The sequence below is a fragment of the Homo sapiens genome, chromosome 3, assembly GCF_000001405.40.
Source record: "Homo sapiens chromosome 3, GRCh38.p14 Primary Assembly".
Taxonomy (NCBI): domain Eukaryota; kingdom Metazoa; phylum Chordata; class Mammalia; order Primates; family Hominidae; genus Homo; species Homo sapiens.
In genome coordinates this window covers 195,308,231-195,323,241 of record NC_000003.12, presented here as the reverse complement: position 1 = coordinate 195,323,241, position 15,011 = coordinate 195,308,231, and the positions used below count along the sequence as shown (strand labels likewise).

Below are 15,011 nucleotides of genomic sequence, written 5' to 3'. Positions count from 1 at the left end.
TTATTTTGCTGGCTAGGAGTTTCATCATGATCTTGAGTGAGAGTGGTAATAATGGTTTTTCTTGTCTTGTTTGCTGTTTCAAAGGGAAAGTTTCTATTAGATTCCCCTTTGACCAGCCTTGGTTTTGCATTCTGTTCCCTGGACCTCACACCAAAACTCAAGTTCTCCTGATAGGCAGATGCCCTTGCTCTCCTTACCTCTTTGAATTCCAGTTTTCACTCAGTCTCTTGCCTTTGAGTATTCCTTCCTAGTTTGTCAGGTCATCAGTGTATTTAAGGAGATTCTAACACTATGTCTTTCATCCAACATATTTCATTGCTAAAGTTATGAAATCTGTCACATTTTAAGTACTACAAAATATTAGCTGATATTAATAGTAATTAAATTGAAGACAATTTATCTCAAGAAGTATAGTTGAAAATTAGAGAAACACTTGTAATGCCCTGCACTTTCAAAGAAGTCTTTTAAGTTGACCAAGGTTTTGAAAAACTGCAGATGTTACAAATGAAACCTTTAGAATGTTAACAAAGTCAATTATATTTATATTTACTGCTTCCTTAATTCTCTCTGTATAATTAAATAAATTGTAGCGTCAAATAAATTTTAAATGAGGGCATTAAAGTTTCCCTGATTTTTTTTTCCCCCAAAGAAAAAGTAGGAAGCAATGTAGCAATTTGTTTACAGATTCTCCTTCATTTGATTATTTTGGATTATCAGGTCTTTTCGTGGTTAAAGTTTCAAAGGTGTCAGGAGAGGTTATTTTTTTTTCTCTTTTGAAATTCTGAATTTAGTCTGTTTCCTGTTCCTGACTTAGTACACTTTTAAATTTGGAGGGCCCTTAGATGGTTGTCCCTCTGCCTTCCCTCTGGTGCAAGGCCCCAGCATCTCAGTAGATACTGCCAAAATGTTTCCCAAGACAGGACGTTTACTGCTCCTTAATAGGGTAGAATTCTAATTTTAATTATTGGTCCAGGAGGAATTTTAAAAGTTATGGGACTGGCTTTAGAGTTTTAAATTTGCTGAAAACAGCAGTCTTAGAGTTGTGTTCAAAATGCTTTGAAGTTTGTTAGGCAATATTTTAAATATTGAATTTCTGATTTCCAAACTTCATGAATGTGTGGAAGAAAATTGGAAGTTTAAATTGCATTCAGGTGAAGATTTAGATAATTAGAACGCTAGAAGAAGACTATGAGTGATTTCATAGTACTCATAAAAAAGTGAGTTCAACTTGCCCACTTCAAACTGTAGACTAAGATCTGTTTCCTTTGAAAACTAAATTTTATTTTAGGAAAAAATGCCATAGACAGTGTCAGATTGAAGGACTACCACCCCTGGGCTCAGTGGCTCACACCTGTAATTCCTGCACTTTGGGAGGCTGAGGCAGGTGAATCACTTGAAGTCAGGAGTTTGAGACCAGCCTGGCTAACATGGTGAAATCCTGTCTCTACTAAAAATACAAAAATTAGCTGGGCATGGTGGCAAACGTCTGTAGTCCCAGCTACTCAGGAGGCTGAGGCAGGAGTATCACTTGAACGGGGAGGCAGAGGTTGCAGTGAGCTGAGATTGTGCCACTGCACTCCAGCCTGGGTGACAGAGTGAGATTCAGTCTCAAAAAAAAAAGAAAAAAAAAAGGAACTACCATGGTAGTAATATATTTAGAAAATAGTGGTAACTTTAAATAATCCCAATTAAATATAACCATATACTTTAAAAAATTGTTAACACATATCACCATAAAATGTTGTGATGCCTGTAATCCCAGCACTTTGGGAGACTGAGGCAGACAGATCACCTGAGGTCAGGAATTCAAGACCAGCCTGGCCAACATGGTGAAACCCTGTCTCTACAAAAATTAGCTGGGCATGATGGCGTATGTCCGTAATTCGAGCTACATGGGAGACTGAGACGGGAGAATCACTTGAACCCGGGAGGCAGAGGTTGTAGTGAGCTGAGATCACTTCATTGCACTCCAGGCTGGGCAGCAGAGCGAGACTCTGTCTCAAAAAAAAAAAAAAAAAAAAAAAAGTTGTGATAAAACAAAAGAATTTTAAACGTCATACCCTGTGTAGTATTTAGTTGTTTCCCTTGTTTATTTGTATACATATTATTTTGTGCTTTTAATCACAATGTATATATAGTTTATATTGATTTATTTTCTGTTTTGCACTATATTCTATATAATTATATGTCCTTACGTCATCACAATAAGTATTGCATAAAATAATCCACTAAAGTCAAATACTTTAATGTATTGAAACATTTCTTTATTATTGATCATTTAAGTCCCCCTTCATTTTTCTTATTAATATTGTTGTAACTGTCTTAATATAAACCTTTTCTTCCTTTTGAACTCTTTTCTTAGGATCCATTTCTTGTCTAGGAAACTTAGTCAAGTCATATGAACTTCTTTATGTGTTATTTTGTGTAGGATTTCTCCAGTGATGATTCTAAGTTAGAATATAACGTAGATGCTGCAAATGGCATAGTTATGGAAGGATATCTGTTCAAACGAGCCAGCAATGCCTTCAAAACTTGGAACAGGTAATATATTTCAAATACTAGTCTTGATCTATACATAGTTTTGATTTTCTGACTTTCCCTGTGATTTGACAACTCTCTCCTTTATAGTTCTTTAACTTCTGTAAATTCCATAGAAACTTTCCTGAACCCAGTCTATTGAAGATAGATGCCCTTTAGAAGCAGGTGAAGAATAAAATCGTTAATTCTAAATTCTAAAAATAAGCAAGGATTAAATAAGGAAGCAAGGATTAAATAAGGAAGCAAGGAGAATTTTTATAATGCTTGGTCTATAGTGGCTAGCTCATTATAGTAAATAAATTTTGAATATGGTCTACCTCCTATATTTGTTATAAAATAGATTTGAGTACAAATTATGAATATGATAGATGAATAGGACAAGTGAGCTTTCTTTTTTCTTTTGGTTTCTCCTCTATATGATGTTTATGTACATTTTTACTTAGTGTTTGCTTATTGTATTAGTCCATTTTCTCACTGTTATAAAGATACTACCTGAGACTGGGTAATTTATAAAGAAAGGAGTTTTAATTGGTTCACAGTTCTCCATGGCTGGGGAGGCCTCAGGAAACTTACAGTCATGGCAGAAGGTGAAGGGAAAGCAGGCATCTTCTTCGCAAGGCAGCAGAGAGAGAGTGCTCAGGGGAAATTGCCGCTTTTAAACCATTATATCTTGTGAGAACTCCCTCACTATCATGAGAACAGCATGGGGGAAACCGCTCCCATGACCCAGTCACCTCCCACCAGGTCCCTTTTTCAACATGTGGGGATTACAATTTAAGATGAGATTTGGGTGGGGATACAGAGCCAAACCATATTTCATCCCTGGCCTTTCTCAAATCTCATGTCCTTTTCACATTTCAAAATCAATCAGGACTTCCCAACAGTTCCCCAAAGTCTTATCTCATTCCAGCATTAACTCAAAAGTCCAAGTCCACAGTCTCATCTGAGACAAGGCAAGTCCCTTCTGTCTGTGAGCCTGTAAAAATAAAAAACAAGTTAGTTACTTCCAAGATACAAGGGAAATACAGGCATTGGGTAAATGTTCCCATTCCAGATGGGAAAATATGACCAAAACAAAGGGGTCACAGGCCCCACACAAGTTCGAAACCCAGCCAGGCAGTCATTAAATCTTAAAGCTCTAAAATCTCCTTTGACTCCATGTCTCACATTCCAGGGCAGGCTATGCAGCGGGTGGGTTCCCATGGCCTTAGGCAACTCCACCTCTGTGGCTCTGCAGAGTGTAGCCCCTGCGCTGCTTTTATGGGCTGGCATTGAGTGCCTGCGGTGTTTCCAGGTGCATGGTGCAAGCTGTTGGTGGATCTACCCTTCTGGGGTCTGGAGGATGGTGGCCCTCTTCTCAAAGCTCCACTAGGCAGTGCCACAGTGGGGACTATATGTGGGAGATCCAATCCCATATTCCCTTCTGCACTGCTTTAGGAGAGGTTCTCCATGAGGGCTCCTCCCCTGCCGCAGACTTCTGCCTGGACCTTCAAGCATTTCTATACATCCTCTGGAATCTAGGTGGAGTTTCCCAAACCTAAATTCTCGTCTTCCATGCATCTATAGGCCTAATACCACATGGAAGCCACCAATGCTTGGGGCTTGCCCACTCTGAAGCAGTGGCCCGAGCTGTACCTTGGCCTCTTTTAGCCATGGCTGGAATTGGAGTGCCTGGGTTGCAGGGCACCAAGTCCCAAGGCTGCACAGAGCAGCAGGGTCCTGGGCCCTGGCCCACAATACTATTTTTTCCCTCCTAGGTTTCTGGGCCTGTCATGGGAGGGGCTGCCTCAAAGATTTCTTACATGCCCTGGAGACATTTTTCCCATTGTCTTGGATGTAAACATTCAGCTCCTCATTATTTTTGCAAATTTTTGCAGCTGGCTTGAATTTCTCCTCAGAAAATGGATTTTTCTTTTATACCTCATGGTCAGGCTGCAAATTTTCCAAACTGTTATGCTCTGCTTCCCTTTTAAACTAAGTTCCAATTTCTTATCTTTTCTTTGTGAACGCATATAATGGTACACTTTCGGGAAATCCAAGTCACCTCTTGAATGTTTTCCTGCTTAGAAATTTCTTCTGCCAGATATCCTAAATCCTCTCTCTGAAGTTTAAGGTTCCACAGATCTCTAGGGCAGGGGCAAAAATGCTGCCAGTCTCTTTGCTAAAGTATAGCGAGAGTGACATTTGTTCCAGTTCCCAATAAGTTCTTCATCTCCATCTGAGACCACCTCAGCCTGGACTACATTGTCCATATCCGTATCAGCATTTTGGTCAAAAGCATTCAACAAGTCTCTTGGAAGTTCCAAACTTTTCCTCATCTTCCTGCCTTCTGAGCCCTCCAAACTGTTCCAACCTCTGCCTGTTACTCATTTCCAAAGTGGCTTCCACATTTTCAGATTATCTTTGCAGCAGTACCCCACTCTGCTGGTACCAGTTCTCTGTATTAGTCCATGTTCACACTGCTATAAAGATACTACCTGAGACTGGGTAATTTATAAAGAAAGGAGTTTTAATTGACTCACAGTTCTACATGGCTGGGGAAGCCTCAGGAAACTTAGAATTATGGCAGAAGGGGAAGCAGGCATCTTCCTCACAAAGGTGGTAGGAGAGAGAGAGCTCAGGGGAAACTGCCACTTTTAAACTATCAGATCTCCTAAGAACTCCCTCACCATCACGAGAACAGCATGGGGAAAACCGCCTGCATGACCCAGTCACCTCACACCACATCCCGCCCATGGCATGTGGGGATTACAGTTCAAGGTGAGATTTGGGTAGTGACACAGAGCCAGTCCTTATCACTTATGAATCTTTTTTTTTTCCTGCCCTTTGTGAACAAAATGCTTATGAATCTTTAAGCTAGGTGATCCTGATCTTTTGATCTTTGCAATAACTTCAATAAAACAGGAGTTTTAGGAAATAGGATTTTTTTCATATATGAAGCTGTGGCAGTTGATGCTCCTTTATTCTAAACTTGATGGCTACCAAAAACTTTGAAGGTGTTGCTAAACAAATTTTTATAAAATATAAATCTGTTAAATGTCTGTTAAAAGAATGTATAAAATATTTCATTGTATTTTCTCATGTAGTAATATACTAAAATGAAATAACTTCAGACATTAAAGCTTCAACCAAAAGATTGGTTGTCGCAGGATCATTCTTCTGGGTATCAGTGATTATCTTTTATTCAAGGATGCCTCTATTTTTGCCAAAAATAAAAAAGTAGTCAAAAAAATTCTGTAATATGAGTAGTAGTTGGATTCTGGTTGATTTACTATTATATTATTGGTTATAATGTGTTTATTACTTGAAGAGAATATGAATTTAATGATGAAGGTTGTTTTTATTTTAAAAAAATGGACATTAGTAAAGTAAATATAATTTCCTAGTAAGTTTAACTTTGTGTACATTTTTGTTAAATGGAAAAATTTAATGTTTTATTAAAATGGGTTTCTAGTGTAATTATTTTTATGTCTTGGTGTCAAGGTTATATAGAAAAAACATTCACTGGGTGGGCACGGTGGCTCACGCCTATAATCCCAGCACTTGGGGAGGCTGGGGCAGGTGAATCACTTGAGGTCAGGAGTTTGAGACCAGCCTGGCCAACATGGTGAAACCCCATCTCTACTAAAAATACAAAAATTAGCCTGGCGTGGTGGTGTATGCCTATAATCCCAGCTACTCGGCAGGCTGAGGCAGGAGAATTGCTTGAACCCAGGAGGCAGAGGCTGCAGTGAGCCGAGATTGCACCACTGCACTCCAGCCTGGGTGAGACTCTTGTCTCAAAAAAAAAAAAAAAAAAAAAAAAAAAAATTCACTGACATTTCTGAAAGTCAGTGATTTATTGAGCATTTCCCCAGCATTTGATATTGCCAGATGTTTACATGGTAGATGGTTTGTTTTATTCAAAATAATTTTTCTGAACCTGAGAGTTAATATAAAATGGAAAGAATAATGATTATATTTGATGTTAAACCTGAGTTTAGAGAGCTTTAAAAATAATACATGTGGTGGACATGGTGGTTCATGCCTGTAATCCTAGCACTTTGGGAGGCTGAGGTGGGTGTATCACTTGAGGCCAGGAGTTTGAGACCAGCCTAGCCAACACAGTGAAACCCTGTCTTTACTAAAAATAGAAAAAATTAGCTGGACGTGGTGGCGCATGCCTGTAATCCCAGCTGCTTGGGAGGCTGAGGCAGAAGAATTGCTTGGACCTAGGAGACAGAAGTTGTAGGAGTCAAGATTGTGCCACTGCACTTCCAGTCTGGGCGACACAGTGAGACTCTGTCTCTTAAATAAATAAATAAATAAATAAACATAAGAATAGTACATGAATATAGGTGGACCAACTCAAGTGGTGTGGTTAGAAATAATGTTTCTAGCTAAAGTGAAAATGAAAACTTAAAATTACATTTTCTAAGCTCTAAAAAGTAAGACAGTAGTCTTCTAAGCCTTTCCTGACAAATTTCTGTAGCCAGAGTAGAAGTTGGAAAAAAAAAAAAACAAAAAAAACCCAGCTTGACTGGTGAGTCTTTATAATAAAGGTTACTCACCAGTATGTTTTCATGATATAATGGCAGAATTGAATTTTAGCCTTCAGATTTCAAAGCAACCTACTTAAAGTTTAACAAAGTGAAAATACAGTAAATCCATAGAAACATACCATTATGTTAAGAAGAAAAGAAATGAACTTCCATGGACTACTACAATGAGAGATGGTCTCAGACTTCAAAATGAAGCATAGTAAGTGTTAGTAGAATATTGCACTGCCATTTAGGACAATAGAAGGAAGTCGATTTTGATTTATACATGAACCTTTTCATTATGATTAATTTTCTGAATTACATTGGCATAGATATTAAAATGCAGCTAAAATCAAGTAAGGAATAATGGTTAAATTTTCAGTTGTAGACATTACCTCCTATTTACAAAGTGAAAAAAACAATGCCTTTGGAAATTAGGCTGTTTTTAAAGGAGATGCCATCTATGTGTAGTGAAATGGCAGTTATTGACTAGAATCATAGATTGTAGAGCCCCTTATTTTCAGTAAAGAAATGGAGCTTCAGAGACATAGTCACTTTTTCAAGATCACACAGCTGGTTTGTGAACAAATTGAGGGGCAAAACCTGGAACTCTGAACTCTTCCTCAAGTATCCTATGGCATTTTTCTTACTTGCTGTGAAAATTCCAAACCATCTTTATTTTGATAGAACAAGATACAACTTCAACTATGAAAAAATACTTCATTTTAAAAGAACTTCCTGAAGCACTTACGTTATTAGGAAAAATTATGGATAGCAAATTAATATCATTTTCACATGCTATTGAAGAACGTTTGCCAAAAACACTAGTAAAATTCTGACTTGTAAAAGAATATAGCATATAAGGCCAGTCATTGTGGCTCATGCCTCTAATCCCAGCAGTTTGGGAGGCCAAGGCAGGCAGATTGCCTGAGCCCAGGAATTGGAGACCAGCTTGGGCAACATGGTGAAACCCCATCTCTACAAAAAACAAATATAAAAATTAGTCAGGTGTGGTGGTGTGGTGCCTGTAGCCCCAGCTACTCAGGTGGCTGAGGCGGGAAGACCGCTTGAGACCAAGAGATTGAGGCTGCAGTGAGCCTCTGCATTGTGCGTCTGCACTCCAGCCTGGGTGACGGAGACCCTGTCTCAATCAGCCAATCAGTGAAAGTCCAAACCTTGTGACTAAAGTCTTTAAGTATTTTCTAGGTGATAGATAAGGAACTAGACAGAAGGGAGAGGAAAGAAGAGTAATCTTTTAAATGTTACTTAGAATTCTCTTCTGCTTTTTAATGTTAAAAATTTGGAATTTAAATTTCTTAAAGTATCTCAAAATCCAATTCTCTGCGCAGCTTAATTTATTTTACTGGACTTTGAGTAAAAGACTGTGTTTATGATATTGGTGAGTTAATTTAAAAAATTCAGGAATCCAGTGATTCAAATATGAAGATTTTTCTGCCTGCTATTTAAATATTTTTTTGGGATTGTTTATGGATTACTTTTAGGGCACGTTTTTTGTTTTAGTCACCATAGGGTACCACACATTTGCTATTACCTATACTTCTATGGAATTATTGCGTAGAGTCTTATCAAAATCAACTATTTAAAAAGACCTTCTGGCTGGGCATGGTGGCTCATGCCTGTAATCCCAGCACTTTGGGAGGCCGAGGTGGGCAGATCACTTGAGGTCAGGCGTTCAAGACCCGCCTGGCCAACATGGCGAGAACCCTGTCTCTACTAAAAATATAAAAATTAGCTGGTCATGGTGGCACGCATCTGTAATCCCAGCTCCTCGGGAAACTGAGGCAGGAGAATCACTTGAACCCAGGGAGGCAGAGGTTGCAGTGAGCCGAGATTTTACCACTGCACTCCAGCCTGGACAACCAGAGTGAGACTTCGTCTCAAAAAAAGAAAAAAAAAAAATCTTCTTTCTCCCATAAATAAGATACGCTTACTATGTACCCACAAAAATTAAAAAAAAAAAAAACAACAAAATTTTCTTCCTCAGGGAAATGTGAGTGTGACTAGGAATTTCCAGATAGTTTTAATAAAACCTCACTTTGTGCTTCATAAATTACAAGTGTATTTCAGGTCATTCCAAAATCTGGAATTTAAGTGAATAGATAATATTTTGTATGATGCGATTGAAATAGCATAAGTGAAAAGTTTTATGTCTTATGTGAACTGTTGTAGTTGGTAATATCTCAAAAATTTTATAAATCTATAAAATATATTTTTCTGAAGATATAAGTGAAGTCACCACAATAATCTTTCTTTGTTGGGTCATTTTCTCAGTGTGGCAGCTTCCTTTCAGGCTCAAATTAGTGGATTATTAGAACTTATATTCTCTTTTGCTTTTTATGATTAAATTCTGAAAAGATGAAGGAAAATAAATAGATACTAACATAATTTATTTAGTGATAACTTGGAAAAACTAATAAAACTGAATAATTACTTGCTATGCTCAGTCTTTGTTGAAATAGAAAATACAGCTAAGAGCATAGAAGGTACTACACAGGATTTTAAAGCAAAATGTTCTGTATGCTGCTGGTATAGATGTAAATGTTTTATTTCTATTGGCCTTTTGTATTATAAGAAGTATATACATGGATTAAAGATTAATACTACGTATGTGTGGCTTTCAAGTCACTGATAACCATTTCATGAAAACGGGATGGGCAATTGGGAGAAATGTTTATTTGCCTAATATTTTATAATCTTTGACATCCTCTATTTAGTGAACCTACTTTCTTTATGAAGACTTTTCATTTATCTCAGGTTTATACAGGCAATTCCTACAGTGATTGTTTTCCTGAACTTTTAGGAGCAGCTTATTAAGATGAGGCGCGAGGTGCTATCTATATTTTATAGCCATGACCATTGAGGCAGAAAATAATAGTAGAGGTATATCCAAGTATGCTAAATCCTACCAGAACTTCCTGTAATGTAGTATTTGAAGAACTTTTTGAATATTCCTGAAATTTTCAGAGTCTTAAGAGTTGGAATTAATTGTACAAATGCATATGTGTATAAAAAGTTAATAAAATGCAACAGATACTTTTGATTATTTTGTTAGGTTCAGAGCTTAAGCTTGTTTCTTAATTCTTGCTTTATTTTCGTATCATGCTAGTCCTTTGCTTATTTTGCACATTTTTCGTTTTCATTCTTTTACCACCTTTCCCTTATGTTTTAATCCTGCCCCGTTTTTTCACACGACAGGAAAAAGCCCGATCACATCAGGTACCAAATGGCTTCCTTCCCTTTACCCTCATCTTACTCCAGTTTCCTTTTTGGCACGAGAAAGCTCATAATTAACTTGCATTCCAGTTGGATTACTTGCAATGGATGAAAAGTCTCTTTATGTTTTAAATTGGGAAGAAAATATAACTATTTTATTTGAGAAATGGAATTATACCTTTTAGTTGCACATCTCCTCAATTTGTTTTAATCTGTAAAGGAATCTTTGATTTATTTATAATTACCCAAAGAAGATACAGATTGAGTAATTTACTTTTTTTTTTAAACATATCTTATTTTTTTGAAAAGAGAAATAAAGGCTGGATGTGGTGGCATGCCTCTGTGGTCCCAGCTACTCCAGAGGCTGAGGTGGGAGGATCACTTGAGCCCAGGATTTCCAGACTGCAGTGAGCTGTGATTGCACCACGACACTCCAGGCTGAGTGACAGAGTGAGGCCCTGTCTCTAAAAAAAATTACATATATGTCTAAACAAATAAAAATATAGAGGGAAATAAGCTAGTAAACTCTTTTTAAAAATTTGAGCAGTAACTAGGATTAGTCCTTTTGGTAAAACCATATTGATTATGTTGAAAGAATACATTGTCAGTTCGTTACCTTTTTTTGTTTTGCCATTTATTTTCTCTGTATAAAAATAAATTGAAGTAAAGGAGCATTCATGTTCAGGCTTTTAATTTTTACCAGTTGTTTACCTATTTGGCACTTACATGAATGTGTAAATAAACCCATCATCTGTATAGTTCTAGTGATAACGTTTCTACAGATTTAGAAGTTTGACTTTTACTCATGTTCTTGATTACAAGAGCAGTCTGGGACTAGTGATCAAACATGGTAAAAGATAACTCGAATTTTTTGTTTATGTATTTTTTCTTTTCCTGCCCAAATTTTGTCATTTGGAAGCTCTAATTAGTATGTTAATATTAATAATATTTAATAATTTATAAATTTAATATTTACAACAAATATATTTTAAAGTATAATATTTAGAATTTAATAAAATGTGTATTATATTGAGTTATTTCAATTTGAGATACAAAGTGATACCTTATTTTTCTTAATGAAGCAAGAAATTTTTCTATTTTAAAAACTGTCTTGGCAGGGCGCGGTGGCTCATGCCTGTAATCCCAGCACTTTGGGAGGCTGAGGCGGGTGGATCACTTGAGGTCAGGAGTTCAAGACCAGCTTGGCCAACATGGCGAAACCCCGTCTCTACTAAAAATACAAAAATTAGCTGGGCGTGGTGGTGCATGCCTGTAATCCCAGCTACTCAGGAGACTGAGGCAGGAGAATCGCTTGAACTCAGGAGGCGGAGGTTGCAGTGAGCCGAGATCGTGCCATTGCACTCCAACCTGGGCAACAGAGTGAGACTCCATCTCAAAAACAAAAACAAAAAACAAAACAGAAAACTGTCTTGTATTTTGGCTTTGTGGTCAGTTTCTGAATCCAAAGTTAAGTATTTTTTCTATATTTCACAGTCCATGAGCTGTTTTTAAGTCTTACTTTTCCTTTTCTTAGAAATGTTAGTAACAACTAGGGCCGGGCGTGGTGGCTCACGCCTGTAGTCCCAGCACTTTGGGAGGCCAAGGTGGGTGGATCGCTTGAGACCAGGAGTTAGAGACCAGCCTGGCCAACATGGTAAAACCTCGTCTCTACTAAAAATACAAAAATTAGCAGGGTGTGGTGGCGTGTGTCTGTAACCCCAGCCACTTGGGAGGTTAAGGTACCAGGATCGCTTGAACCCAGGAAGTGGAAGTTTCAGTGAGCCAAGATCGCACCCCTGCACTCCAGCTTGGGTGACAGAGTGAGACTCTGCTTCAAAAAAAAAAACAAAAAAAAAACAAAAAAACCACAATGAAATGTTAATAACAACTAGGATTATTCTATAGAAATAATTAAAAATTATATTCCCTTTTACTTAACTGATTAAAGTTTTGGTCAATGTTACTAGTTTTTTTAATTTATAATAGCAATGGAGGAGTGATAGTGTTGTAAGACACACAAATCTTAGTATAATAATTGAAAAAATGTTTTCTACCTAGGATATATGACGTTTTTCCTTAAGAGATGTAAAATTAAGAGTTTATATTTTCTTTCCTCAGTTTATAAAAATCGATGTTATGAAAACGTCATTCAGAAGCAGATCGATGGCAGAGGAACTGGGTTTCAGAAATACATATGATCCTTAGGTTAATAATCAGAGGGTTAGCTCTTTGACAACAACATAAGTTTTAATACTATTTTTAGAAGATATTGTCCTAAGATGCAGCTGGTCAAGAGAAGTTAATTTTTTGAAGACCTCAGAAGCGTGAAAAGTTTACATAATTTGTTGTTCAGTAAAACTCTTCGTAGCTTTCATCAAATTACAGAATTTACTATGATATAAAACAAATGATTTTGTATGACTACAGTTCACCCTACTTCAAATGATTTTTACACAAACGCTTTCATCAGTATCAGAGATTGTTTCCATTGCATGTCATCCCATGTGGCAGGGTTGCACCATTTTGTTTGTTTGTAGGTATTTCCTTAACATTTCTAACCAACTATCTGTCCCAAAGTAAAGAAACCCAGAAGTTCTTCCTTTTCTAGCCTACCTCTTGATGATTTGCATTTAGAGGCAACCCAGCTCATTTTATCTAGATGCTTATTTAACAAATGTCTTTTTTAATGGTAAAGGCGATTCCTCTTTAAGTGACAAGAAAACCTAAGTCTGTCTAGTAAATGGCTTAAAAGTGGAAAAGCATCTTCTAGTCATGACATGAGAACAGCTTTGGATAATTAACTTAATTTTTAAAAATAGAAATTCTAAATACAATTTCTAATGCTTCATATTAGTATCAATGAAAAGGTAGAATATCTGCTAATTGATTAATAACTAATGTTACAATAGAAATCATCTCACATGAAACTAATTTTAAAATAATGATTCAAATACTGTTTTACCTTTCATGCTTGATAAGAAGTTTTGCTTTCTTTTCTGAATGGCTTTTGGCTGTGAATTTTTTTTATGCCTTTAGGTCTTTTATTGTTTTAATAAATTAGAATTAGTAAATATGTAATACATAGCATAGATTTTTCTTCTAAAAAAGATCGTAAGTAAATTGTTTGTCTAATAATTTACAGTAATGAGCAGAACCATATAAATAGTTGAGTGAATCATTTGTAGTAATAACTTTGATTATTTTACTTAGGAGTATTTTATATGAAAGTAAGGCCAAGCTAATTTGTGATTGTCTCTTGTTAGATGTCGGTTCTGACATGATTAGTTTTCTGTTTTGCTTATCAAATCAAACTCTTACTGAATTATCTGCTGAAAAGTTGAAAATAAAGCACAATTTATTTCAATGTTTTTCTGTATACAAGTGGATACTTTTTTTTTTTTTTTGAGACGGAGTCTTGCTCGGTCGCCCAGGCTGAAGTGCAATGGCGTGATCTCGGCTCACTGCAACCTCTGCCTCCCGGGTTCAAGTGGTTCTCCTGCCTCAGCCTCCTGAGTAGCTGGGATTACAGGCACCTGCTGCCATGCCCAGCTAATTTTTGTATATTTTATTAGAGGCTAGGTTTCACCATGTTGGTCAGGCTGGTCTCGAACTCCTGACGACCTCAGGTGATCCACTCACTTTGGCCTCCCGAAGTGCTGGGATTACAGGCGTGAGCCACCGTGCCTGGCCACAAGTGGATACTTTTATTCACGATATACATTTATGCCAACTTTATGAGAAAAGCAATTATTTCTTGGGAAAGAGTTCAGTTATTTTTGAGGAACCTCAAAAGCTGTAAATTTGTACTTTAAAACAGTTATTATTTGGTGATAGCATACAGGATAACTGCTTTTGTTAGGATGTAAATTTATGACATGAAATTAATCAAAATGTAGTACTTTAATTTTCCTAACCTGTGGTTTTAAAATGTTTGTTCTTTCAGTAGTTTTCCCATGTTAGAATCAGTTTATATAAAGCAAAATAATACAGTGGACTTCTCAAAACATAATTAACACAATGTGATTTCCAGTGCTTTCTCAAATATTTCATTTCTAACAACAATGGAAATAAATTATGTTTATGAAAACTTAATCTATTTTGTGTTTCTGTAGGCGCTGGTTTTCAATACAGAATAATCAGTTGGTTTACCAGAAAAAATTTAAGGTAGGTGTTAATAAATGAAACCCCAGTGAGTTACCAGTTTCAGTTATTTATCTGTTTTGGTAAACATTGAAGTCTATACATACTCATTTGTGTAAAATTAATGTAATTATTTATTAGTTTTATGTTTGAGCAGGTATAAGAGGACTCTAGGGTGGAAAATATCAACATTTAATTCTTAAAAGCAAAGTGATTTGAATCCTGAGTTCTTAATTCCTTGCTTTGAGATGGATTTTTCTGGGTCACAGGATTGTTTAAAATGTTTTGATAGCTTTTAAATGGTATATATTAGTTGTACATACTTTTGTGGTACATGTGCTATTTTGATACTTGTATACAACGTGTGATGATCAAATCAGGGTAACTGGGGTATCCATCACCTCAAACATTTTTGTCTTAGGAACATTACAAATCTCTTCTCCTAGCTGTTTTGAAATATACAACATACTTTTATTTCTTTATATGTATCTTTGTCTAGTCCATGACAGAAATAACACTGCCATTCCATAGCACTATTTTGAAGATGAAAGAGAGGGTGCCTTTTAAATAATGTCACAA

General features: G+C 36.5%; 1 protein-coding gene across 13 annotated transcripts in view; it reads left to right on the top strand.

Annotated features, from left to right (window-relative positions):
• The window catches only part of ACAP2 (ArfGAP with coiled-coil, ankyrin repeat and PH domains 2), a 168,276-nt gene that overhangs the window by 119,779 nt on the left and 33,486 nt on the right, over window positions 1–15,011 (top strand). For 7 of the 13 annotated variants that reach the window (XM_006713557.4, XM_011512602.3, XM_017006048.2 and 4 more), the window contains 3 exons: window positions 2,429–2,541; window positions 10,275–10,295; window positions 14,405–14,456. In XM_006713557.4, coding sequence (XP_006713620.1) covers window positions 2,429–2,541; window positions 10,275–10,295; window positions 14,405–14,456 — 186 coding nt within the window. The remainder of the gene's footprint in view (window positions 1–2,428; window positions 2,542–10,274; window positions 10,296–14,404; window positions 14,457–15,011) is intronic. The other 6 variants (NM_012287.6, XM_011512603.3, XM_017006049.2 and 3 more) reach the window with 1 other exon arrangement.